Consider the following 23,662-nt stretch of genomic DNA (forward strand, 5'->3'; position numbering starts at 1 on the left):
TTTTAATTTATTATTCTATAAAATTCAGTTTAACTGTCAGTTTAGTTTTGAAATTCAGAAGTCAATTTGGAAAATGGAAGTGTTTATCATTAGTTGCATTTTGTCCTGATCTCAGAAAATTACGTATATGTTTTCCTGTATATACTTCCATATTTGTCATTGGATGAGCAAATGATAAAAACACACTGAATTTATGTAATTTATCTCTAATCCCTTTAATAAAACATTTCATAATTTTCAGAGAATTCAGAATTCTTAATGAGTATTCTTCTTCATGAAACAGTGTCTTCTGTTCATATTGAATGCAGCAGACTCAGGAATAACTATGATTTATCAATGGCATATTTTTAAGGCTAACATCAACAGTAGACTCTTGAATTCAATCATGTCAGCACAATTTCAAAGGATTGCCTTTGCTGAGTACAAAGAATCTACATGGTTAGCTAAAAATGGTGCAAACTTAAGCATTGTGTAAAGGAAAGATCTATTGATTTTCTGTGTTTCTAATTGGTGTTAGGCACCACATTAGATCAACTCATCACTTACCTGCCATTTCTCCCTCTTTTTACTTTGTGTTGAAGAGTTTGGAAATCTTATGACTAGCCTACTTGTTCTGTGCCCATGAAGCAAATTAGGTATCATGAATAAAAGATCTGGGTCAGCACAAATGTAGCCTTACTCTCTCTGTTTATCTAAAGACCTAAGCCTGTTCACATCTCCAACACCCTTTGCATGAAGGGGAAACCAGGTGACCCAAACCAGGTATCTGAAATGACATTGCATGCCTGAATTACAAATCCTCCTCCTAGCTTTACACCAAAGGGCTGGCAGTACTGACCTGGGTGTCTGAGAACTACAAGAGGAGAATATACTGAATTTTCAGTTCCTTCTGGGTCGATTCTAACTATTGGGCCCCAGAATGCAGTCAGTCATGGATTCTAAGAATCAGATTAAAAAATGGAGTTTAGGGGTCAGTCCATTGGGCATATCTGAAAACGCACCCTGTCGTTATTTTCCAAAGACCTGAGGGCACAGTTGGAACATAGCTGATACAGTCAGCAACTGGGAATATCCTACCCATTTGACCCTATCACCCATGCAGTAAAGATTTTTATAATAGAAATAATTAAGTAGAAGTCTAAAGACCTGGCTTCCCTACTAAGATACTTGAACAAATTTAATATTGCATTCCTGGGGAGAATTGCAGAGATCAGTGTTACCATTAAAACTTGAAAATTTCAAGTGTGTTGTTTTCCATCACAACTCCACTGGACTTCCCCGTTCGAGATGTGTAGTTGATAGAAGACACTTGAAGAATGATGTAGTTTAGTAAACTCAACAAGATGCTGGATCTCTTTGCAGCTTTGGTTCAGATGCCATCTTTTTATTGGAATGAATAACACACAGCCTACCACCAGACATTCAGTTAAAGGTTTGGTCGATTTTGACCAGTATTTATTCTCCCAGTATCCACTCTCTTCTAGATACTTTTATTCACATAAGCTGTGCCAGGTTTTAGCAAGCATATGGACATCCGGTTAGTCCCTGCACTTCCCTGACTACTTTGTAGCTGTACGTGGTCATGTGACCAAGTCCAGGCCAGAGGACTTGGTCACATGACCACATACAGCTGCAAAGTAATCATGACCAATGGTGATGACATGAACAAGTTCTGTCTCTCATCCTTGAGAAATAAAGGCAAATGCATTCCATTATTTCTTCCTTCATGTTGGCTAAGTGGAACAATTGACTTAAACCCAGTGGTCTTAAGCCATGTATTAAAGATAACAAGGCTATCCTTTCCATCCTTGGCCATCTACTTCCATCTGTTGCACGAAAGAGAAGAAAACTTCTCTCCTATTTGAACCATTATATTTTAAGGTCTTTTTGTTACAGCAGCTTAACATGTTTCCCAACTAATACAGCGTGTAACTCTCTGTCCACTTAATGCACTATTCCACATTGAGCTCAGGATACTTCTTCAATCCCAAAATAGATGCTTCTATTTTCTTGGTCATTCCAAGTTCCTCCTCCTTGGGAATGCTTGATTTCTCTGTGTTTATCCTCTCACTGTTCTACACAATCCCAATATAAACTTGAAGGTGTGCTCCCTCATTTGCCCAAATGAGAACTCATACAACACATGTGTAGATGTAGAAAATTTCACAGGTTATTCAGATAACCTAAAATCAATACTTACTTACTGTTAAAAAATGTCCTTCAAAAATAAAAGAAAAAGAGTAATGTTTATAGTAGAGAAACTTGACAAACACTCGATCAACCAGATGATCAGGTCAACATCAAAAGTGACAAGTCATATTGACAGTATGTACCCATGGCATGATGTGATGAGAAGGAAACACCACCTCTGTGGTCTTCTTCCCAAATAGCCATAACCCCAGTCTAGTCATGAGGAAAACACTGGAAAAACCCAAATGGAAGGACAGTCTACCGACCAGTATTCCTCAAAGCCCTTGAGGTCATCAAAAACAGAAGGTCTGAGAAACCGTCATGGTCTAAAGGAGACTTAGAAAACATGACTGTCAAATATAATGTTCAGCAGAACATTGAAAACAAAAGATGAAAAAAATGAATGTAATGTGATATCCTGGATGAAATCCTCAATCAAGGGATATTAGGAAAAAAGTATGTAAATTCAAGTAAATGATAGCCTTTAGTTAATGATAATGTATCACTATCAGTTCATTATTTGTGGCAAATGTACCAGACTAATGTAAGATGTTAACAATAGGGAAGTCTGGTTATGTGGTATAGGACTTTCTGTAATGTTCTTGCAACTTTTTTTGTAAATCCAGAACTATTTATAATAAAAATTTTATTAAGTATGACCCAGGAATGGACTTTCAATGGGAAGTTGGTATGGTAAACACTGGACCTCACTATTTGAACACATTAGCTGGATACCTGAAGAAATGGAGATAGGAGATAGATGATATGTAAGGCAGAAGATATGGGGTTAAGGAGCTGGAGACTAGCTGTGGTGGTGCATACCCGTAGTCCCAGCTACTGGGAAGGCTGAGATGGGAGAATCACCTCAGCCAGGGGAGGTCAAGGCTGCAGTGAGCCGTGATTGTGCCATTGCACTCCAGTCTGGGCAAAAGAGTGAGACAATGTTTCAAAAACAAACAAACAAAAAAAGATGAAGATGGTGCATGAGGACATGAACTAGAGCAAAAGGAGCACTCATGGCCAGAGACAGGAACATTTGATGTTAAGATGGTGTGTGAGATGAAGGCATCCCAAGTGATGACAAAAACGAAGGTAGGAAATGTGTGGAGCAGTCAATGTTTGGAGATGCCAATGGTCAAAGCAATAAAGTCATCATAGGTTATTTATTATGTAAAGGAAAATGTTAGAAGAAGTGGGAAGATGGAAAGAGGAGCATGACCGAGGGCCAGGAACTGATGAACAAACAGGGGAGGTTAAGGAAGGGCAAGAGGTCAGCTGGTGGCTGGAGAGGAGAAGTGATACCAATTAGATATGAGAAGTATAATCAATATGGCATTATTGTATTTCAATAGTGTTGAAAATAAATGAAATTTACTTAATATAGCACCATATCAAACGAAATACTTTTTCTGAACTGGTTTGGTTCCAGATTCTTATTGAAGTAAAACATAAATCTACTTATGGGTATTAAGGGATAACGTATCATTGTGTGGATCATATGTTTGTCAGATACATTTTGGCTGACAAGTAATGCGAACGATAATTGTGATTTCTGGAAACTGGCGTACTGCATCTGAAGGTCAGTGTGCTCATTTCCCCTTGGATGCATACATTGGAATGTTATTGTAATTCAGAAGGTTCTTTCTCAGCTGCACTGCATTTCCATCGGGGAAAATGCCAACCCTCGGAATAAGAGCATGTGTTATAGAGACATGATGTAGTTGCTAAAGCAAAGTGATTTTAATTGAATTGTGATTCTTTCTCCTGTAACTTGAGTTGTACCATTTTGTGTTGATGTGATAAAATCTGAATTCTTTGTTAAGTGATGGCTTCAACATGCACAGGTCATATGACATTTTAAATATTTCGTTGTATTTTCAGTTTTTACTTTTAGCTAACTGAACTTGACCCTAGAACTACTATTTTTCCTTTAACTCCTTTCTTTTTTTTTTTTTAAAGACAGCAACCAAATGTGCTTGTCTTTTAAGGGACATATATGTCAAGAGTTTTGAAGGATGCTACAGTAAGTAATTTGGATGGCACTGGAATTAAAATCCAGCATGTATTTTTGCTGGATGTGACTTTCAGGAAAAGATCTTATAACTTGTTACAGTTCCAAAGCCATTACACAGTATACAGTCATGTGTCACTTAATGATGGGATAAGTTCTGAGAAATATTTCCTTAGGTGGTTGCATTGTTATTCAAATATCATAGGTTGTAGGTAAACAAATCTAGATGGTATAACCTACCACACATCTAGGCTACATGGTATATAGCCTGTTGTAACAAAGCTGTAAACTTCTACAGCATGATATTGTACTGAATACTATAGGAAGTACTGAATACTAACTCAACATAAGTATTTATATATCTAAGTAAATTTAAACAGGGAAATGGTACAATAAAAATACAGTATAAAAGATAAAAAATGGTATACTTGTATAGGGCACTGACCATGAAACCATGAATGGAGCTTGCAGACGTGGGAGTTGCTCTGGGTGAGTTAGTGAGTGAGTGGTGAGTGAATGTGAAGGCCATTACTGTACACTACTGCAGGCTTTATAAACACTGTACACTTAGGCCCCACTAAATTTATTTTTAAATGTATTTATTTAATAAATTAACCTCAGCTTACTGTAACTTTTTTTACTTTATAAGCTTTTAGATTTTTGAAAACTTTTTGACTCTTGTAATAGCACTTAGCTTAAAGCATACATGGTATGGTTGTACAAAAATGTTTTTTTCTTTATATCCCTAGTCTATCATCCAAGTTTTTTTCTACTTTTAAATTTATTTTTTTACTTTTTAAAATTTTTTGTGAAAAAATGAAGACACAAATATACTCAGTAGCCTAGGCCTACACTAGAGTCAGGATCATCAATATCACTGCCTTCCACCTTCACATATGGTCCCACTGGAAGGTCTTCAGGGACAATAACATGCATGGAGGTGTGACCTCCAATAACATTGCCTTTTTCTACAACACCTTCTGAAGGACCTGCCTGCCGCTGTTTTACAGTTATATACATATATATAGTGTGTATACACACACACACACACACACACATATGTATATATATATGTATATATGTAGAAGCAAAACACTAAAATATTAGTAAAATATATAGTATCATAAATATATAAACTAGTAATGTGGTTGTTTATTATCAAGTATTATGTGCTACACATAATTGTATGCATTGTTTTCTAACACTGGCAGCACAGTCAATTTTATTTTATTTTATTTTTTGAGATGGAGTCTCACTCTTTCACCAGGCTGGAGTGCACTGGCACGATCTCGGCTCACTGCAACCTCCACCTCCCAGGTTCAAGTGATTCTCCTGCCTCAGCCTCCCGAGTAGCTGGGATTATGGGCACGTGTCACCATGCCTGGATAATTTTTGTGTTTTTAGTAAAGGCAGGGTTTCCCCATGTTGGTCAGGCTGGTCTCGAACTCCTGCGCTCAAGTGATCCGCCCGCCTTGGCCTCCCAAAGTGCTGAGATTACAGGCATGAGCCTCTACGTCCGGTTGCAGTCGACTTTTTTACACCCCCATCACCATAAATATATTAGTAATGCCTTGTGCTGTCACATTACAAAGGCTATGATATCATTAGGCAACAGTCATTTTTCAGCTCCATTATAATCTTATGGGACCACCTCTGTAGGGAGACCCCCTGAAACTATGGCTATGGAATAAAAGATGAAATGCTCCTGATTATTGTAAATACAAAATTGCATGCAGGATTGTGTAAAGACAATGCCAGGTTGGACTGCCAGAACGAGCCAACAGCACGTGATGTGCTTCCCCCTGCAGAGAGCCTATGAATGGACATGCAGTCAGGGAGGTTTCACATCACCAAGATTCCTATCCCAGAAAAGCAGATGTTCATAGCTCTGGGAATGGAATGCGACCCTTGTGGAAAGCCTATAAACGGATGCACGGGGGGCACTTGTCCATATGGATAAGATAGGGCTATAAACGCCCTCATCTTGCCACGGCTCTTCTAGCCCTCTTTAGGGTTAAGGCATACTCCCTTCTGAGAATTTCTGGTCTAACTGGTTGTCTAGCTTCACATCCTGTTTCCATGGATTGTTTGTAACTAGCTTTTGTTGCAATCGTTACTGCTGATTAATATCTTGCTAATCATAGGTTACGGAAAGATTGTGTTTCTGTTTTAAGGCTCTGTTAGAAATTACTGATGCACACACTATATTGTAAATTCTTATCTCTGTATACTGTACTTCTACATACAAATGTACTGTACTTCTACATACAAATGTTATGTTAAAGAATTACTTCATCCCCATGTGACCATCTCACCTCATAATCAAATGACCCTAAATCCCTCACTAACCTACCCCCACCCTCACTAAACGTAATAATAAATGCTGGTATATCCAGTGCATTGTTGGCACCGCGGGACCAGAAGGCAGTGACCCACCTGGACCCAGCTTTCACTGTCTTGTGTGTGTCTATTATTTCTCAACCTGCCGATCCACCTGGGAACAAAGAGAGCCCCATTGCATTGCGGGCTGCTGGCCAGATCCCTCAATACACCTCCATATATGCAGTCTGCCATTAACCAAAATTTTGCTATGCAGCATATGACTGTAATTGATTCAAGATCAGTTATTTGAAAATGTAACCCCTTCCTACTAATAGAATAATCTTTATAACACTGGAATTGAAAATCCTTTTCCGGCTGGGCGCAGTGGCTCACGCCTGTAGTCCCAGCACTTTGGGAGGCCAAGGCGGGCGGATCACGAGGTCAGGAGATTGAGCCTGGCTAACATGGTGAAACCCTGTCTCTACTAAAAAATACAACAAAAATTAGCTGGGTGTGGTGGTGGGCTCCTGTAGTCCCAGCTACTGGGGAGGCTGAGGCAGGAGAATGACATGAACCCGGGAGGCAGAGCTTGTAGTGAGCCGAGATCGCGCCACTGCACTCCAGCCTGGGCGACAGAGCAAGACTCTGTCTCAAAAAAGATAAAAAAGAAAATCCTTTTCCAAATGATGGAATATAGTAACAGAAAACAGAATCCCTACTTTAGTGCTAGAGAGATAGTTTATTTTTCAAGGTCATGTGACACTTACCGAATACTCTTAAAATTGTAAGCAAATAACATCTAGATTTTGCCGAGAGCTCCAACTTTGCAAGCGTGCATAAAAAGCCTCTGTTTCTTCCTAAGTCAAAGAATGGAAGACAGAGCCCTGGAGTGTCTGGGAGATACTTATTCTACATGTGCCAGGTGCTTAGTGCCCAGGCAACTGGTTAGAATCAAGTTAACCTCAATTCGTTTTCCATCAATGATTCTGGAATTTCTATGAAAACAGTTGACCTGGAGACCCCAGTAGTTGCTGAAGAAATCTGGGCTTTCAATCATCTCCTACTTTTGACTCCAGTCTATTCCAGAACTAGGCATTTAGCCTCTATTATGAATACTCTCCTCACTGGCAAAGAAAAGGAGGTGGGTAATGATTACCTAAACTTCAGAGCTAACTATAAGCATAATTTGTGGCCAGGTGTGGTGGCTCACACCTGTAATCCCAGCACTTTGGGAGGCTGAGGCAGGCAGATCACTTGCGGCCAGGAGTTCTAGACCAGCCTGGCCAACATGGTGAAACCCTGTCTCTACTAAAAATACGAAAATTAGCCGGGCGTGGTGGTGGACACTTGTAATCCCAGCTACTTGGGAGCCTGAGGCAGAAGAATTGCTTGAACACAGGAAGTGGAGGTTGCTGTGAGCCAAGATCACGCCACTGCACTCCAGCCTGGGTGACAAAGCGAGACTCCGTCTCAAAAAAAAAAAAATATAAAAAGATGAATTGTGATAGATAATGCTTAGTAAAGATGCAATGGAAATTGCTAATTCAGCAACATATAAGCCGTTTTATGGTATCATTAGGCAGAGAAAATCGATATACCTAAGGTGAATAATGTTTCTACTTGTACCACATCCGTGATAGTCTAAACTAGGGATTCTCAAAGTGTGGTGTTTGAACCAGCAACATCAGCATCTCTTGGAAACTGGATAGAACTGCAAATTCTTTTTTTTTTTTTTTTTTTTTGAGACAAGTCTTGCTCTGTCGCCCAGGCTGGAGTGCAGTGGTGCGATCTCTGCTCACTGCAACCTCCGCCTTCCGGGTTCACGCCATTCTCCTGCCTCAGCCTCCAGAGTAGCTGGGACTACAGATGCCCGCCACCATGCCCGGCTAATTTTTTGTATTTTTAGTAGAGACAGGGTTTCACCATGTTAGCCAGGATGGTCTCGATCTCCTGACCTTGTGATCCGCCTGCCTTGGCCTCCCGAAGTGCTGGGATTATAGGCATGAGCCACCACGCCTGGCCTAGAACTGCAAATTCTTAGGCCCCACCCAAGACCTATTGAATAGAAACTCTACTGGTGGAGTCCAGCTATCTGCATGGACAAACCTCCAAGACTGATGATGCATAGTCAAGTTTGAGATTCATGACTCTAATCCAGAGGTCAGCAAACTTTTTCTGTAAAAGGCTAGATGGTAAATACTGTCGGCTTTGCAGGCAGTATGGTCTTCACCTCAACTACTCAACTCTGCTGTTTTAGCCTGAAAACAGCTATAGACAGGACGTAAGTTAATTGGGTTTGGCTGTGTTCCAGCAAAACTTTATGAAAAAAGCAGCTGGATTTGGTCAATGAGACATAATTTGCTGACCCCTACTCTAAAATACTTCTTACTAATTTTAGACCAGTGGGGCTTGTTTTATATGAGTGGATTGAAAGCATTCATCTATGTATGTTATTTTTAAAAATAGATTCTCTTTATATAAAACGTATGTCTGTCTATTCCTGAGTACACATTAAAAACATCATTTTTAATTATCTGAATTTGTAAGTTTCATGGGTAAATAGAAAAGGAGATGCTTATGATAAAGTTAATCATAATTAAAATTAAAATTATCACATAATATATTAAGATTCACATAACAAAATGTTAATATTCTCTTTAAATATCATTACTAACACATAATCAACAAAATCTTACCTTGGATTTTATTACATAGTTTAGAACTTTTATTGCATGTCATAATCTTTGTAGTATAATAAACAAATTTTAACATTTCCTCTAAGCACAGGAGATCATATATGTCATCACCCTTACCTTACAGCTAATAAATAGTTGTTCATTTCAGAATTCGGGCAGTTGAAGCTGTGTGAACATGAACCATTCATCATTACAGATGATCCTGATCACATAGATACATGGTATCCAGCAATTGCAACTTAGAAAGTGTTATCAGTCCAAGATCTGATTGGTTCTGCAAATTTAGATGACTCGTTTTCTAATATTTTCAAGTTGTAGCCCAATGTTCTCATACATGTCATTTCTGATTTACCATTAAGGATGTTCTGGTAAATTGTTTCTCTCGACTGCTCATGCAGTGTTTTGAACTGGTGCCATAGTAGATTTATTTTCTTCCCTTCAGTATAGACACATACATGTGCTTATTTCTAAACCTCATCACTTGACACTGAGGACCAGGAAGCAAAACCTAAGTGACTGAAAGTCTTTTCAAGTTATTCTTTGATTGGCTTTTGGAGTGAGTTTGATGCAATCTCCTCACTTTTCTAGCCAAGGCGATTTGGCCAAGTTATCTGTTCTCAACCTTTCGGCTGTAATACTGTTTTGCCAAACACAGAAACACTAATGTAGATAGCTCACACTTACGGTTTCAGAAATTTTTTTCATACAAGGAAGTTTTCTTAAAATGTGTAAATCTCTTTTTTTCTAAATCTACAAACAAGATTTAATAATATAACACATATACATTGTAATACATTTTGTAAATATTTGCATATGCATATGCACAATATATAGTAAACGTAAACCATTTTATATTTCCTTGTATTTCTTAAAGCCAATGAAAAACATTTTAAGTACAATCATATAATTTACTGATCAAAGAAAATTTTTTCCCACTCTTCTATAAACTTCACAGAGCCTGAGATTTTTATCAAATAAATCTTGGATACCTTCTAGCACTTGCGTAGTACGTTTTTTTAAATATATTTTTTAAATTTAGCTTTTATTTTCAGTAGAGACAGAGTCTTACTATGTTGGCCAGGCTAGTTTCCAACTCCCTGGGCTCAAGTGATTCTCCCACCTCGGCCTCCCAAAGTGCTGGGATTACAAGCAATGAGCCACCGTGCTGGCCTAGCATAGCCCTTTACTAAAAAAAAAAAAAAAGCCACTATAAATATTTGCTGAGATACTGAGTGAATGGATGGACTAACAAATGAATTAACTAATGAAGCAGTGTCTGAATTTCTGAATTTAGGAGAAATTCTTTTTTTTTTTCAGGAACATTATTTAAAATGTATTTAACAGCTCCATGCAACTTCTCCAGAATGATGGACATTGCCCTATGGACATACATGAAAAATGTATATATTTATTTATAGCATATATATATAGCTTCCTTGATTAGTGTATTCACTTTATGTTGTATGTTTTTTTCTACAGATGACTGTAAAAGCCTGTTTGGTTATGATACAATTTCTATAAGCACTAAAACAAACAAACTAATAGTCCCATCCCTATTAGTGTTGAATATTTGAAAGGTGTTATTTTTGGGTCATTTTTAACCACGTTGATATCTCTTTTTCTGAATTTGACTTTGTAATACTTTTTTATTTTTTAATTTATTTTTAATTTTTTTTTTATTTCCATAGGTTATTGGGGAACAGGTGGTGTTTGGTTACATGAGTAAGTTCTTTAGTGGTGATTTGTGAGATTTTGGGGCACCCATCACCGAGCAGTATATACATCACTCAACTTGTAGTCTTTTATCCCTCACCCCCTTCTGACCCTTTCCCCAAGTCCCCTAAGTTCATTGCATCATTCTTATGCCTTTGCATCTGTGTAGCTTAGCTCCCACTTACGAGTGAGAAAATACGATGTTTGGTTTTCCATTCCTGGATTACTTCACTTAGAATAATAGTCTGCAGTTTCATCCAGGTTCTTGCAAATGCCATTAATTCATTCCTTTTTATGGCTGAGTAGTATTTCCTCAAATATATATATATATATATATCTCACAGTTTCTTTATCCACTCGTTGATTGGTGGGTATTTGAGTTGGTTCCACATTCTTACAATTGCAAATCATGCCACTATAAACATGCCTGTGCAAGTATCTTTTTTGTATAATGACTTCTTTTCCTCTGAGTAGATGCCCAGTAGTGGGATTGCTGGATCAAATAGTAGTTCTACTTTTAATTATTTAAGGAATCTCCACACTGTTTTCCATAATGGCTGTACTACTTACATTCCCACCAGCAGTGCAGAAGTGTTCCCTGATCACTGCATCCAGGTCAACATCTACTGTTTGATTTTTTTGATTATGGCCATTCTTGCAGGAGTAAGGTTACCACCTTACTCCTTATCGCATTGTGGTTTTGATTTACATGTTCCTGATCATTAGTGATGTTGATGCATATATTTATTATAACATACATGTAACTTTCTTGATTAGTGTATTCACTTAAGTTGTACTTTTATTTTTTTCTATGAATGACTTTAAAAGCCTGTTTGGTTATAATACAATTTCTATAGGCACTAAAACAAACAAATAGCCCCATTGCTATTTGTGGTCAGAATTTGAAAGTTGTTATTTTTGGGTCATTTTTAACCATGTTCATATCTCTTTTTCTAAATTTGACTTTGTAATGCTTTCTTATTTTTTAATTTATTTTAATTTATTTTAATTTTTTTATTTCTATAGGTTATTGGGGAGCAGGTGGCATTTAGTCACATGGTATTTGGTTACACAAGAAAGTTCTTTAGTGGTGATTTGTGAAATTTTGGTGCACTCATCACCCAAGAAGTATACACTGAACCCAATTTGTAGTCTTTTATCTCTCACCCCCTTTTCACTCTTTCCCCGAGTCCCCAAAGTCCATTTTGTCATTCTTATGCTTATGCATCCTCATAGCTTAGCTCCCACTTACGAGTGGGAACATGTGATGTTTGGTTTTCCATTCCTGAGTTACTTCACTCAGAATAATAGTCTGCAGTCTCATCCAGGTTGTTGCAAATGCCATTAATTCATTCCTTTTTATAGCTGAGTAGTTTTCCATTGTGTATATATACCACAGTTTCTTTATCTACTCGTTGATTGATGGGCATTAGGGTTGGTTCCATGTTTTTGCAATTGCGAATTGTGCTGCTATAAACATGCGTATGCAAGTATCTTTTTCGTATAATGATTTCTTTTCCTCTGGGTAGATACCCAGTAGTGGGATTGCTCGATCAAATGATAGTTCTACTTTTAGTTCTTCAAGGAATCTCCACACTGTAATGTTCTTTTAAAATATGTGCTTTTTATTTCTTGCTTGTATTTTTTTGTATTTTGAAATTGATTTAGGAAGTATATATAATCCATAGAGACCTCAGCCCATTTTTAAAGATTCATGTTACTAACACTCCAATAGCTTCCTGTGGGTTTGGCGTGGTAGGAAGTACAGGTGAAATAAGGCAAATAAGACAGAACTGGTATTCTGGAGCTTGAGAAAATGAAGAACCCTGGCAATCACAATGCAGTGTGAGAAGTGTTATGAGACATGCATTTGCAGGACCCCTAGGGGCACGTGTCTGTCTCCTAGTGCAGCCCAGGAGGTATTGTCTTGGAAGGCATCCCTCTTAAATCATCTCCCAGAGGATGGCATCTGATGAGGGTAGGATGCATATTCCAGGCAAAGGAGGCAAAGGCACTGGGTTATTAAAGTATTGCAAATAACTCCTGCACACTTCTGGTACAAGTACAAATTGGTACAATCCCCGAGGAGAAATATTTGGTAACATCTACCAGTAATAAAATGTATTAATGATCAGATATGGGACCCAGCTCTCCCAGCTGTTCCATTTTTGAGAATGTTTCCTGCAGAGACACTTGCCCATGGATGACGTGGCGGATGCACAGTTTTGTTCACGGCAGCCCTAGCCTTCGCACAGAGTTACAAACACCCTAGATGTTCCTCAGGAGAGGAAGGATTCAATAAAACACTGTGTGTCCAAATGGTGGGAATGCCACTACAATCAAATGATAAGGAAGGCTTTCTGAGATATGATGTTAGGTGAAAAAAGTGGTTTGTAAATGGATGTGTATGATATACTATATATTATGTGAACAAGGGAAAATACATATATGCCTTTACTTGTTTCTTGTAAATGTATAAAGTCATCTCAACGTGTAGGTAAGAAGCTGACAAAAATATTTGTCTCAGTGTGTGGTGTTGTTATATGGGACTAGATACAGGACTCGTTGGGGTGAAGAATGAGAGGGAGAGAATGGTCCAAGAAACAGCTACAGACCTTCTCCAAGCTTCCGCAGTCATCAACTCATGGCCAATTCCATTTCATCCCAACTCCTAGACATTTCTGCCTGCCCCAGAGTAGAATATCTTGTATATATACAGATGTGCGCGCACACACACACACACACACACACACACACACACACACACACACACATTCATGTGCTTGGCTTATGGCCCAAATAAGATCCATGCATAAAAATTAAAGGTAAAATTTTTATTTTAAATATGTACTTTGTCAAACTTCTGCAATAATTATAAAAGCCTTAAATTATGAATAGAGTAAAGGGAGTTTGTTATTAGTATCAAACTCTCCTAGACACAGTTTTATTTTTATTATGATTTTTCTTTTAACTCATGGTGATCTTTGTGTGTCTTTTTACATTTTTAAATATACAGGGCCATTGAAGGTTTTCTTTAGGCATTAACTTTTTAATTTTTGTATTATAGTTAGAAAATTTCAGATTCTTTGAAATTTGAGAAGACATACTTTATGTCAAGTGGGTAACCAAGTTTTAGAAAATTTTCTGGAACGCTTGAAAAGAACGTGTTCTCCAATTATTTCATGTAGTTTTCTATATATGTCCATTACAAGGAGCTTATTAAACTATTAAATCTTTTATATTTATATTAGTTTGATCTCTATGCCAGTCATAGACCATTCTCACAGCTGGTGAGAATATGCTGAATTATCCCAGTATAATGGCGGATTTGTTCATTTCTATTTTCATTCTGTTAATTTTTCTTTTATGTATATTATATATAAATGCCATTTAATTAGATGCATATAGATTTAAATTCTTATAGCTATCTGAGAACTTAACAGATTTTCTCAAATGGATGACTGTTTTATCCATAAGGATGACTTTAGCATTAATATTTAATTCATCTGATGTTGATACAGTTAAGCCTCTTTTCCTTGGGTTAACATATATTTGGTCTTTGGTTTTCCATCATCTTCTTTTCAAACCTTTTGTGTCTTTATCTTTTCATTATAGAGTTTAATCTGTTTGTATCCATTGTGTTTGTGGACTCATTTCTGTCATCTTATATTGTACTTTCTGTTAGTATACTTGCTGTTCATATCACTTTTATTCTGTCTACCTTGTTTGTGTTTGTTTTATTTTAGCTTATTACCATTTTATTTTGTCCTTTATTGGGTCAGAAGTCACATCCTCTAATTTCATCCTTTTATTGGATATTATAGAAATGTTATAATATATATTTTTTGAAGTGTGTACACAAATAAAGTGAATGAGTAACCTGAGTCTTCTTCAGAAAAATATAAAGACCACACAAAGTGGGCACATAGCTGTGGAGGGACAAAGGTGATGCTGGGCACACAGACTGACCACACAGAGCTGGGTCTCTTCAACAATGTCGTATGTCTACGTGAAGAAGGATGCCAAGGCACACTCTAAGATAATGTGTGTTGGGGGGGAGGAGGCGTGTGTGTGAATGTGTGCGGCACACCTGATGCATGCTCAGGAGTGTATGTATATCTGTGCACCATTGTTTTTAATTCAAAAAGTGCATAGCTTTCATTTTCACAGGAAGTTATGATGCCTCATACAGCAAGTACCTTTGGTACCTTTGGATAGACTTTTTTTTTTTTTTTTTTTGAGACAGAGTCTCGCTCTGTCACCAGGCTGGAGTACAGTGGTGCGATCTTGGCTCACTATAACCTCTGCCTGCCGGGTTCAAGGGATTCTCCTGCCTCAGCCTCCCAAGTAGCTGGGACTACAGGCACGCACCACCATGCCCAGCTAATTTTTGTATTAGTAGAGATGGGGTTTTGCCATGTTGGCCAGCCTGGTCTTGAACTCCTGACCTCAGGTGATCCACCTGCCTCGGCCTCCCAAAGTGCTGGGATTGCAGGCGTGAGCCACCGTGCCCAGCCTGAATAGACATTTTAAGGTAGCATGTCATTTTTGCCATGAATTTGGCAGCTGTCTACATTCTAAAAAGCTAGATTCAACTTTGAAACTTCCCCAGTCTAGGAGAGTATAGTGTAAACAGATCAATCACCATAGAAGGGGGATTAAACAGACATATTCTGAGCAGGCAACTGGAACATGAAACCACTTTAAGTAGCAGAATTGGGCCTGTTGTGTTTAGAGGCACAAAAGGAACTGTGAAATATCTAAAATCCAATAGCTAAGAGAAATTTCACATGGAGAGACTGAGAAACTTCTGCAATAATTATGAAAGCCTTAAGTTATGAATGCAAAAACACAGTGTTGCAGATGTTTCTGTAGAAATCTACAAAAATGAATCTATTGCCCACCGAAACTCAGGACAGTAAGGAAGCAGAAAGTTACGGCAAGACTGGGCTAATTCTAATTCCATTGGCCATGCCCGGCTAAGCATTTCATTAATTCTTTACTGAGAAGAGATTTGAATTACAGTTGGCATCAAGAAGTAGTTACATCTCTATTTGCCAAGATCAATCATTCAGCAAAATTTAATAATTGATTCAGTAATATAGTGTCAGTCATTCCTAAATAATGTTTTCTGTTTGTTTTATACATTTCTGAAGCAAAAGGACAAAACAATTATTTTTAAAAATGAAAGGCCAGTACCAAAAAGGCAAAGTCAAAATTCTGCAAGTTTTGGTGCTGATCATGGGTTGGCCAGATATACTTTATTGCTTTTGGAAATGGTTCTTGAGTGATTAGTGTAGGAAATAGTGTAGAAATATTCTGGAAGGGCTTTCTCTGCCTTTGTGTGAAGATTTCCAGTTCCCCGGAGCCACAGAGCCTGATTCATTTGTCTACACACAATAATAATAATAATAATAATGATGATTATTATTATTATTCTGAGTTGCTTGAGCTCTCTCTCTCTCTCTCTCTCTATATATATATATATATACACACACACACAAACATATATATATTCTGGTTATTAATCTCTCATTAAATGTATAGTTTGCAATTATTTTCTTCCATTCTTTAGGTTGTCTCTTCATTGAAAGTTTATTATACCATGCAGAAGCTTTTGAGCTTCATGTTATTCCATTTGTCTGCTTTGCTTTTACTGCCTGTGCTTTGGACATCTTACTCAAAAAGTCTTTGTCCAGACCAGTGTCCTCAAGCATTTCCCCATAGTTTTCTTCTAGTAGCTTCATAGTTTGTGGTGATAAACTATGAGCATGCAGTTTTGACTCCATTTGCCAGTGTTGTGGACTAAAGTTGTGAGGACAGAATGGTTTGTGTTTTCATAAGTTTTCTTATGCAAAGTTGATTTGATGACAGTGGCCTCCTAAGAATGAACTTTCATCAAAACATTGAGGTCTCCAACCAAACAGACACAAAAGCACTCCTTAATGTGGGAGTCTTCAGTACCATATAAAATGTGCAAATTAGCAACATTTCTGAGTATTGAGCTCCAAGATTCAACTCTGGAATATTTTATGGTTTTCTTTGTTTTAATACTTAATGGAGGAGACACATTTTTGCTTGTAAACGAATAAACTCATGTGTCTAATTATGTATTAGGAAAATGAGGTCATTTCCTTCTATGTGGTAATATATTCACATATAGGGGGAAATGCCATAATATATGGGACAATAAGGTGAATAATACTATACTAACAAATATAATAATATGAATAATATGAAAAAAACATCAAGAGATGGAATTAACTTTAAATACAGGGCAGATATATTTTTATCGGCTTGCTGGGCTAGCACTTTTCCTTACTTCTCTCCCTGAAGGGTCCCCAATTCTGTTTCTATTCTGTGTGTCTTTTTCCCCCACTTCCGTGGACATGTGTCCAGTGCCCCTTCCCCCAAAGCCCTTCAACTAGTTATTCTCTAGCAGAACATTTTTCTGCCAGTAAAAATATTTTCTTTCAGGAATTGGCTAAAAGCTGTTTTCATAAAAACTTCCCTATATGAATCGAGCCTATAATTATCTGGCTCTTTCTTAGGATTTCTGCAGAGCGTATGCACACCTAAAGCGTACCAATTCACACTTGGTTCCGGGGTCTATAGTAGAGTCACAGAAACATGACTCCTGTCATGAATGCAAGCTAGGATGTGGTCCCTACAGCAGGGGATGTGTCTCGAATGCCTCTTCAATCCTTGTACAGTGTCTAATGCAGTACTGCTTCCACAGTGTTGAGCAGCAGTCCTTAAGAGGGTGGGGTTTAGAGTTTGTTCTTTGCAGACCTGAGTTTTAATCCTGACTCTATAACCTATAAGCAGTATAAGAAAGTTACTCAAACTGTCTGTCTCATTTGTCCAGTGGGGACACTCCTCATTTTACAGGGTGTGATGGTTAATTTCAGGTGTCAACGTGACTGCCTTAAGGAATACGTCAGGAGTTGATAAAGCATTGTTTCTAGGTGAGCCTGTGCAGATACTCCCATGAAGATTGGTGTGAGCTGCTGGACGGAGTGGGGAAGATGTCTTCAATAGAAACAGGCCCCATCCAATTCTCTGAGCGCCCAGATAGAAGAAACAGGGCAGAGGAAAGGCACTTTCCTCCCTTTCTCTCCTGGAGCTGAGACTCTTCTTTTCCTGCCCTTGGACATCAGAACTTCAGGCTCTTTTTATACTAAGAGTTATACTATCCACTTCCCTGGTTCTGAGGTTTTTGGTTGTGACCTGAGTCACACTCCTGGCATCCCTGGGGCTCCACCTTGCAAACAGTCTGCCCTGAGACTTTTCAGCCTCTAATTCCCCTAATAAATCCCCTCTCATCTGTCTTTGCTGATAACCTGTTGGTAGCGTCTCTCTAGAGCCCCGATTAATCCATAGGGGTAATGTGAGGGAGAAATGAGGTCATGCATGGAGAGCATTTCACACCCTGCCTGACACATGCCCAGGTCCAACAGGCTGCAGCTACAGTTATTCTAGAGCTTAGCATCAATGTTCAAAATAGCGGAAGGCCTTCCCTCTGGTACCCAGCCATCGCGTTGAGCTTCTCCTGTCATTTTTCAATTCCAGAGTGTTTTTTGAGAGCAATTCTGTGTCGTGTGTATCACTGACGTGGGGCCAAAAACAATCGGTATGCGTGGGGATCTGAAGCTGGGAATGACCAATAGGTCAGAAAGTTCTTAGGAGTCAGGAGCAGAGGAAGCTGCATGGTCAAGGGGAATCGACGTGAGCCTTCCTGCCGTGTGTCCCATTTCCTGCGGTCTAATGAGACAGAGACATATGTATGTATGCATCAGCTCATGCTTAGCTCTTTAATATGTACAAGGTGTTTTCAAATTCTCCCACCGTCTTTGACAGCTGAGAATTTCAGATCACCTGTTGTTCATGACTGCTGTCAAGGGGATCCTCCTTTTAGGGACACAGGAAGATTTGCCTAAAAACGTCAGGAAGCTTTGATATCTATTATTTTATTATAAAAATCAACTACAGCTTTGCTGCTATATTACTTTGGGTCTTTACTCATTCCACTGTTTATTTTAAGCCTCAGCTTGTGGATAGTTGGAGAAGGAGGGAAAATATGTAACACTGTTATTAAATATTTTACTGTGTATGTAACATGTAGAATAAAGCAAGACTTGAAGATGTAGTATTTATGAATGCTCCAACAAATAAAATATTATTTAAATTATTGATTTCTAATTAAACGACTTATTGTCCATAATGAATTAAAATAGTTTGTGAAAATAAATTCATTGATACTTTTGCATTTATAATTTGAGAATCATAGTAACTTTCCAAATCTGAAAATGCCTGAAACACAAGACTGCCAATCATCACAATAAAACATGAAGCCCTAGTGAACGAGCTAGTCAGGATGGGTTCCCAACAAATAGCAGTTGAAGCTCTTACTGCCATGAAATGATGAAAGAAACACGGTTTAAGTGCCATGGATAATTATTTCAATGCCAAAAGAATCATCACAGACTGTTGTGACATGCAGAGCTTGAATGGAAATATGGCATTAAAATAAGGTGCACAAAATTAATTCTTGAATGTAATTTTTAAACACATTGCAAAATTGCTCCCTAATATACACCAAACCCAAAAGTGACCACTGACAAGATGAGTTTATTTCAGTTTTTATGCTGTCATTATGGAAAACACTATAGCAGAAAGTTCACCAATTTCCCTTTGGAAAGAGATATACAACCACAGCCAATAGGCTTTCCTAAAAGACAGCAGGAGCTTTTCATGCGGACTTGTTTCCCATCCATAACATACAAATATTTATTGTCCAGGGTCAATACAGCCTTGCAAATAAACAGGCTTTGAGTTATACCAAGCATGCTCATTCTTATATGGTATTTCCATATAAGAAATACAAAAGAAATATACCACAAAATGATGGTGTTCAGGACATAGGGCAACGCCCTGTTTCTGTGGTATAGCGTCCTAGGTTTCGTAGGATTCCATAGGAGGCAGCTACAAGTTCAACTTGCAAAGCTCTGAAATCTCTTCCTAAGCTAATGAAGTGAAGCCCTGACTGCACCAAGGAAAGGATGAAACAGAACCCATTTATTGTTTCTCAAATGATGCTACCATCTCTTCAAAGCCACCATTAATTTTAACGTCTTTAAAGCTATAAGAACAATCTATGTAACAAGTGAAAACTGCCTATAAAATTACTGCTTTACATCTCAAACCCTTATTATATGGAAATTCATATTTTCAGAATCACATAAAAGTTTAACGTGCTATTCATTATAAGATTAAAGGGCATGAGTTATTCTGCCTGTGTAATTATTAACAATTGAAAATTAAATCGTGATAATTTTGTACTCTTTTCTTCTTAAAATAATTTCCTTTCTCCTTTTGCCTGAGACCCATGCTTGAACAATATTAACGTCTTACCCTCTAAAATAAATGATTATATATAATATATAAATATGTTTTATATGTGTATTTATACATAAAATATATTTGTAAATATTTCTATATATAATCTACGAATTATATAAAAATACATATATTAATTTATACATATATAGTAGGTTCTAGTATATCTAGAAAAGACCTGTGTATTTCTAAGATATATATATAATCTATATCTATATATTTATATTTATATTATATATAAATATATAATCCATATTTCTATATTTGTATTTATATATTTTATATATAAATGTATATAATCTATATAGGTTTGTATATAGTAAATATAGTTGTATATTACATTTTATTTACATATGCTTCTATATATTTGTATACAGTAAATTCTATATATAGAAAGGACCTGTGTATTTCTAACGCATGGAAATATGAAATGTACTTTTTGTCTCCTCAGTTGCGAATATAAAAAGGCTTTTTTCAAGTAGATAGATTTTTCTCTACTTTGAATTTTTCTTCTTAAATATATTAGGTTGTAGGGAGGGGACGCTGAAAGGAAAGAGATGGAAACGATTCTTTCATCGGTTTCTATAACCGAAAAGGTATTTTAACAATGAAACCTAAGTAGGTAGAATCCAGTTCTTGGTACTTGGTGTATGTGCTAGCAAGATTGCATGAAGAAACAAACCGTGTAAGAAGCGGAGTCATCCTGTGAAGGGGAAATTTGTCTCCAGTGTTCAGCCATGACGCAATCCTTATCCTCCTGTCTGGCTAACTGTGACCTGTCCCTGTGACCTTAACCCCACGGGACCCCACTTCCCTCCCTCCCCACACACCACCTATTCCTTCCTTCTTTCCTTTCTCCCTCCCCACACACCACCTCTTCCTCCCTCCCTCCCCACACACCTCCTCTTCCTCCCTCCCTCCCTCCCCACACACCTCCTCTTCCCCCCTCCCTCCCTCCCCACACACCACCTCTTCCTCCCTCCCTCCCTCCCCACACACCACCTCTTCCTCCCTCCCTCCCTCCCCACACACCACCTCTTCCTCCCTCCCTCCCTCCCCACACACCACCTCTTCCTCCCTCCCTCCCTCCCCACACACCACCTCTTCCTCCCTCCCTCCCTCCCCACACACCACCTCTTCCTCCCTCCCTCCCTCCCCACACACCACCTCTTCCTCCCTCCCTCCCTCCCCACACACCACCTCTTCCTCCCTCCCTCCCCACACACCACCTCTTCCTCCCTCCCTCCCTCCCCACACACCACCTCTTCCTCCCTCCCTCCCTCCCCACACACCACCTCTTCCTCCCTCCCTCCCTCCCCACACACCACCTCTTCCTCCCTCCCTCCCCACACACCACCTCTTCCTCCCTCCCTCCCTCCCCACACACCACCTCTTCCTCCCTCCCTCCCCACACACCACCTCTTCCTCCCTCCCTCCCTCCCCACACACCACCTCTTCCTCCCTCCCTCCCTCCCTCCCCACACACCACCTCTTCCTCCCTCCCTCCCTCCCCACACACCACCTCTTCCTCCCTCCCTCCCTCCCCACACACCACCTCTTCCTCCCTCCCTCCCTCCCTCCCCACACACCACCTCTTCCTCCCTCCCTCCCTCACCACACACCACCTCTTCCCCCCTCCCTCCCTCCCTCCCCACCATCAGAGAACACGGAGTCACTCAGATCAATTTGCAACACATTCATTTTATTATCTTCAGAATGGCAAGCACCCCGCTGGTGAGATCTCTGAGGTCTGGCGGCTGGGCCTGAACTTAGTCGGTGCTCTCGGAGACAGGGGAAAAGCTGGCCATCCACACAGTCAGTGGTTCTTCCACCTCGCTCTCCTGACTCAGTGGTTCTTCCACCTCGCTCTCCTGACTCAGGGGGTCGTGCTGGGTCCCCTCGCTCACTGGCTCCTCCGGCGGCAGCTCGTGCTGAGGGAGCTCCTGGCTGGGCTGGTCGCTGGGGCCGGGTGCCGCTGGCGCGCTCTCCGCCTCAGGTGCCGTCACGGCCGCCATCTTTGTCGCAGCCCCTTTCTTCCCGCGTCTCCCTCTACGAACTGCTTTTCCCTTCTTGGCCACCTTGGTAGTCTGGAAGGACAACAGGGAGATCACAGAAGGGCTCTGGTTTAGGGACGAGGATGGAGGAGGCTGGGAACAGGGACGTGTCCTCAGAAGCGGTGGGGGCCGGGTTGGGGGGTTCTGCCAAGTGACGACAGGAGAGGCTTCTTGTGAGGAAGGAGGCGAGGGGAAGACGAGGAGGAGCTTGGGAGGGTCACTCACCTTCTTCTTCGGGTCACTGGGGCTCGGCTGAGAGGAGGACTTCCTCTTTCCTGCCTCCGTGGCCTTGGCCGGAGGTCCCGAGGCTCTCGGCTTTGGACTCATCTTCCGCAGCTCAACGTCTCGCAACGGTCGACTAACTCCAGGCTGCCTGGCCTCCCTGTATATACCCCTCTCGCGATCCCAGGACGAGACAATCACGCCCCTGAGCTGTGATTGGTCAACACTCCACTACCCAGCCAATGGTAGCCCTGGGCGGGAAGGAAGGCCTTATACGTCACAAAGCACCATCAGGACATGGCGGATGAAGTCGGGGGCGGGGGGGGGGGGTGACATCTAATGAGGAAGGCAGGGTGCTCTAATTGGAGAAAGGGAGATTTGGGTTAGCACCCCTAAAGATAGTTCCCAAACTGACATGTCACCCCTCCTAAACTCCCCATGTTCAATTTTGGCAGATCACGTGGCACGGGAGGATATTTCCGCCACATGTTTCCCCCGGACCTCCCATTCAGTGGTACATTCTGTTCCTCCACACCTGCCATCATTACCCAGTTTCTGTATGACCTATCTAAAATCCCTCCATGCTAACTGGGATGGATGGAGGGCTATACGAAGACGTCAATCATCCCTCTCTCCTACAAATTCCTCTGCTACACCTTGAGGATCATTCACTTCTTGGATGCCATGAAACAACTTTTCCATCTCACATACTTCTCCCAGCATCCACATAGTGCCTCACAATTTTTCATTCTCATGGTTTAAAGCACTGGCTTCCAGAGGTCAAGATCAGCAAACACACTCGCTCAGCTGGGTATCGGTATCAGGCTGGGTTTCGGTATCAGGCTGGGTTCCTCAGAGAAGGAGAAACTAAACCAACAGGATATTGTGTGTGTGTGTGTGTGTGTGTAATATTATATATCATAAATATATATTTACTATCATGTAGTATTTATGAATTATATATATGATACAGTTTATTCTAAGTAATTGGCTCACACATTGACTCAATGTGGGGGTCTAGGAAGCTGAAATATATAGGGCAAGTGAGCAGGCTG

The 23,662-nt window shown here is 39.7% G+C and overlaps 1 protein-coding gene and 1 long non-coding RNA gene across 5 annotated transcripts in view, besides 31 other annotated features; one reads left to right on the plus strand and one right to left on the minus strand.

Moving 5' to 3' along the window:
• LOC107985675 (uncharacterized) overlaps positions 1-23,662 on the plus strand; it is a 528,885-nt gene that overhangs the window by 220,432 nt on the left and 284,791 nt on the right. The window lies entirely within an intron of this gene.
• Positions 19,337-23,662: part of a meiotic recombination region, noted in NCBI's record as "meiotic double-strand break mapped by DNA meiotic recombinase 1 chromatin immunoprecipitation followed by single-stranded DNA enrichment and sequencing in the germ cells of some male individuals with PRDM9 A/A, PRDM9 A/B, and PRDM9 A/C genotypes", that runs on past the window's edge. NCBI's record gives the evidence for it as "EXISTENCE:chromatin immunoprecipitation-seq evidence [ECO:0000229][PMID:25395542]".
• Positions 20,859-22,106: a non allelic homologous recombination region, noted in NCBI's record as "sub-region a', recombines with sub-region a within the S232-VCX2 recombination region". NCBI's record gives the evidence for it as "EXISTENCE:nucleotide sequencing assay evidence [ECO:0000219][PMID:15888481]".
• Positions 21,145-21,157: a nucleotide motif, noted in NCBI's record as "nucleotide motif; similarity to the predicted 13-mer PRDM9 A binding motif (LD hotspot motif), CCNCCNTNNCCNC".
• Positions 21,194-22,127: a tandem repeat, noted in NCBI's record as "variable number tandem repeat (VNTR); RU2 (repeating unit 2) with a variable number of a tetranucleotide repeat (GGGA, TCCC on the complementary strand) within the repeat". NCBI's record gives the evidence for it as "EXISTENCE:nucleotide sequencing assay evidence [ECO:0000219][PMID:1549475]".
• Positions 21,215-21,227: a nucleotide motif, noted in NCBI's record as "nucleotide motif; similarity to the predicted 13-mer PRDM9 A binding motif (LD hotspot motif), CCNCCNTNNCCNC".
• Positions 21,248-21,260: a nucleotide motif, noted in NCBI's record as "nucleotide motif; similarity to the predicted 13-mer PRDM9 A binding motif (LD hotspot motif), CCNCCNTNNCCNC".
• Positions 21,281-21,293: a nucleotide motif, noted in NCBI's record as "nucleotide motif; similarity to the predicted 13-mer PRDM9 A binding motif (LD hotspot motif), CCNCCNTNNCCNC".
• Positions 21,314-21,326: a nucleotide motif, noted in NCBI's record as "nucleotide motif; similarity to the predicted 13-mer PRDM9 A binding motif (LD hotspot motif), CCNCCNTNNCCNC".
• Positions 21,347-21,359: a nucleotide motif, noted in NCBI's record as "nucleotide motif; similarity to the predicted 13-mer PRDM9 A binding motif (LD hotspot motif), CCNCCNTNNCCNC".
• Positions 21,380-21,392: a nucleotide motif, noted in NCBI's record as "nucleotide motif; similarity to the predicted 13-mer PRDM9 A binding motif (LD hotspot motif), CCNCCNTNNCCNC".
• Positions 21,413-21,425: a nucleotide motif, noted in NCBI's record as "nucleotide motif; similarity to the predicted 13-mer PRDM9 A binding motif (LD hotspot motif), CCNCCNTNNCCNC".
• Positions 21,446-21,458: a nucleotide motif, noted in NCBI's record as "nucleotide motif; similarity to the predicted 13-mer PRDM9 A binding motif (LD hotspot motif), CCNCCNTNNCCNC".
• Positions 21,479-21,491: a nucleotide motif, noted in NCBI's record as "nucleotide motif; similarity to the predicted 13-mer PRDM9 A binding motif (LD hotspot motif), CCNCCNTNNCCNC".
• Positions 21,512-21,524: a nucleotide motif, noted in NCBI's record as "nucleotide motif; similarity to the predicted 13-mer PRDM9 A binding motif (LD hotspot motif), CCNCCNTNNCCNC".
• Positions 21,541-21,553: a nucleotide motif, noted in NCBI's record as "nucleotide motif; similarity to the predicted 13-mer PRDM9 A binding motif (LD hotspot motif), CCNCCNTNNCCNC".
• Positions 21,574-21,586: a nucleotide motif, noted in NCBI's record as "nucleotide motif; similarity to the predicted 13-mer PRDM9 A binding motif (LD hotspot motif), CCNCCNTNNCCNC".
• Positions 21,607-21,619: a nucleotide motif, noted in NCBI's record as "nucleotide motif; similarity to the predicted 13-mer PRDM9 A binding motif (LD hotspot motif), CCNCCNTNNCCNC".
• Positions 21,640-21,652: a nucleotide motif, noted in NCBI's record as "nucleotide motif; similarity to the predicted 13-mer PRDM9 A binding motif (LD hotspot motif), CCNCCNTNNCCNC".
• Positions 21,669-21,681: a nucleotide motif, noted in NCBI's record as "nucleotide motif; similarity to the predicted 13-mer PRDM9 A binding motif (LD hotspot motif), CCNCCNTNNCCNC".
• Positions 21,702-21,714: a nucleotide motif, noted in NCBI's record as "nucleotide motif; similarity to the predicted 13-mer PRDM9 A binding motif (LD hotspot motif), CCNCCNTNNCCNC".
• Positions 21,731-21,743: a nucleotide motif, noted in NCBI's record as "nucleotide motif; similarity to the predicted 13-mer PRDM9 A binding motif (LD hotspot motif), CCNCCNTNNCCNC".
• Positions 21,764-21,776: a nucleotide motif, noted in NCBI's record as "nucleotide motif; similarity to the predicted 13-mer PRDM9 A binding motif (LD hotspot motif), CCNCCNTNNCCNC".
• Positions 21,801-21,813: a nucleotide motif, noted in NCBI's record as "nucleotide motif; similarity to the predicted 13-mer PRDM9 A binding motif (LD hotspot motif), CCNCCNTNNCCNC".
• Positions 21,834-21,846: a nucleotide motif, noted in NCBI's record as "nucleotide motif; similarity to the predicted 13-mer PRDM9 A binding motif (LD hotspot motif), CCNCCNTNNCCNC".
• Positions 21,867-21,879: a nucleotide motif, noted in NCBI's record as "nucleotide motif; similarity to the predicted 13-mer PRDM9 A binding motif (LD hotspot motif), CCNCCNTNNCCNC".
• Positions 21,904-21,916: a nucleotide motif, noted in NCBI's record as "nucleotide motif; similarity to the predicted 13-mer PRDM9 A binding motif (LD hotspot motif), CCNCCNTNNCCNC".
• Positions 21,937-21,949: a nucleotide motif, noted in NCBI's record as "nucleotide motif; similarity to the predicted 13-mer PRDM9 A binding motif (LD hotspot motif), CCNCCNTNNCCNC".
• Positions 21,974-21,986: a nucleotide motif, noted in NCBI's record as "nucleotide motif; similarity to the predicted 13-mer PRDM9 A binding motif (LD hotspot motif), CCNCCNTNNCCNC".
• VCX2 (variable charge X-linked 2) lies at positions 22,013-23,336 on the minus strand. The gene is made up of 3 exons (NM_016378.3): positions 23,176-23,336; positions 22,611-22,858; positions 22,013-22,418 (listed from the first exon to the last, which is right to left on the minus strand). The coding sequence occupies exons 2-3, from the start codon at positions 22,710-22,712 to the stop codon at positions 22,101-22,103; spliced, it is 420 nt and encodes a 139-aa protein (NP_057462.2). The 5' UTR covers positions 22,713-22,858; positions 23,176-23,336; the 3' UTR covers positions 22,013-22,100.
• Positions 22,152-22,211: a tandem repeat, noted in NCBI's record as "variable number tandem repeat (VNTR); RU1 (repeating unit 1) with a 30 nt repeat motif, and 2 repeats units in the GRCh38 reference assembly". NCBI's record gives the evidence for it as "EXISTENCE:nucleotide sequencing assay evidence [ECO:0000219][PMID:1549475]".
• Positions 22,460-22,475: a nucleotide motif, noted in NCBI's record as "nucleotide motif; similarity, but not exact identity to the predicted 16-mer PRDM9 C-type binding motif, CCNCNNTNNNCNTNNC".
• Positions 22,664-22,679: a nucleotide motif, noted in NCBI's record as "nucleotide motif; similarity, but not exact identity to the predicted 16-mer PRDM9 C-type binding motif, CCNCNNTNNNCNTNNC".

The sequence above is a fragment of the Homo sapiens genome, chromosome X, assembly GCF_000001405.40.
Source record: "Homo sapiens chromosome X, GRCh38.p14 Primary Assembly".
Lineage (NCBI taxonomy): Eukaryota > Metazoa > Chordata > Mammalia > Primates > Hominidae > Homo > Homo sapiens.

Coding starts and splice junctions, on each gene's coding strand:
- VCX2 (NM_016378.3), bottom strand. CDS start 22,712: ATGAGTCCAAAGCCGAGAGCCTCGGGACCTCCGGCCAAGGCCACGGAG. Junction 22,419..22,610: donor CCAGTGACCCGAAGAAGAAG/GTGAGTGACCCT, acceptor TTGTCCTTCCAG/ACTACCAAGGTGGCCAAGAA.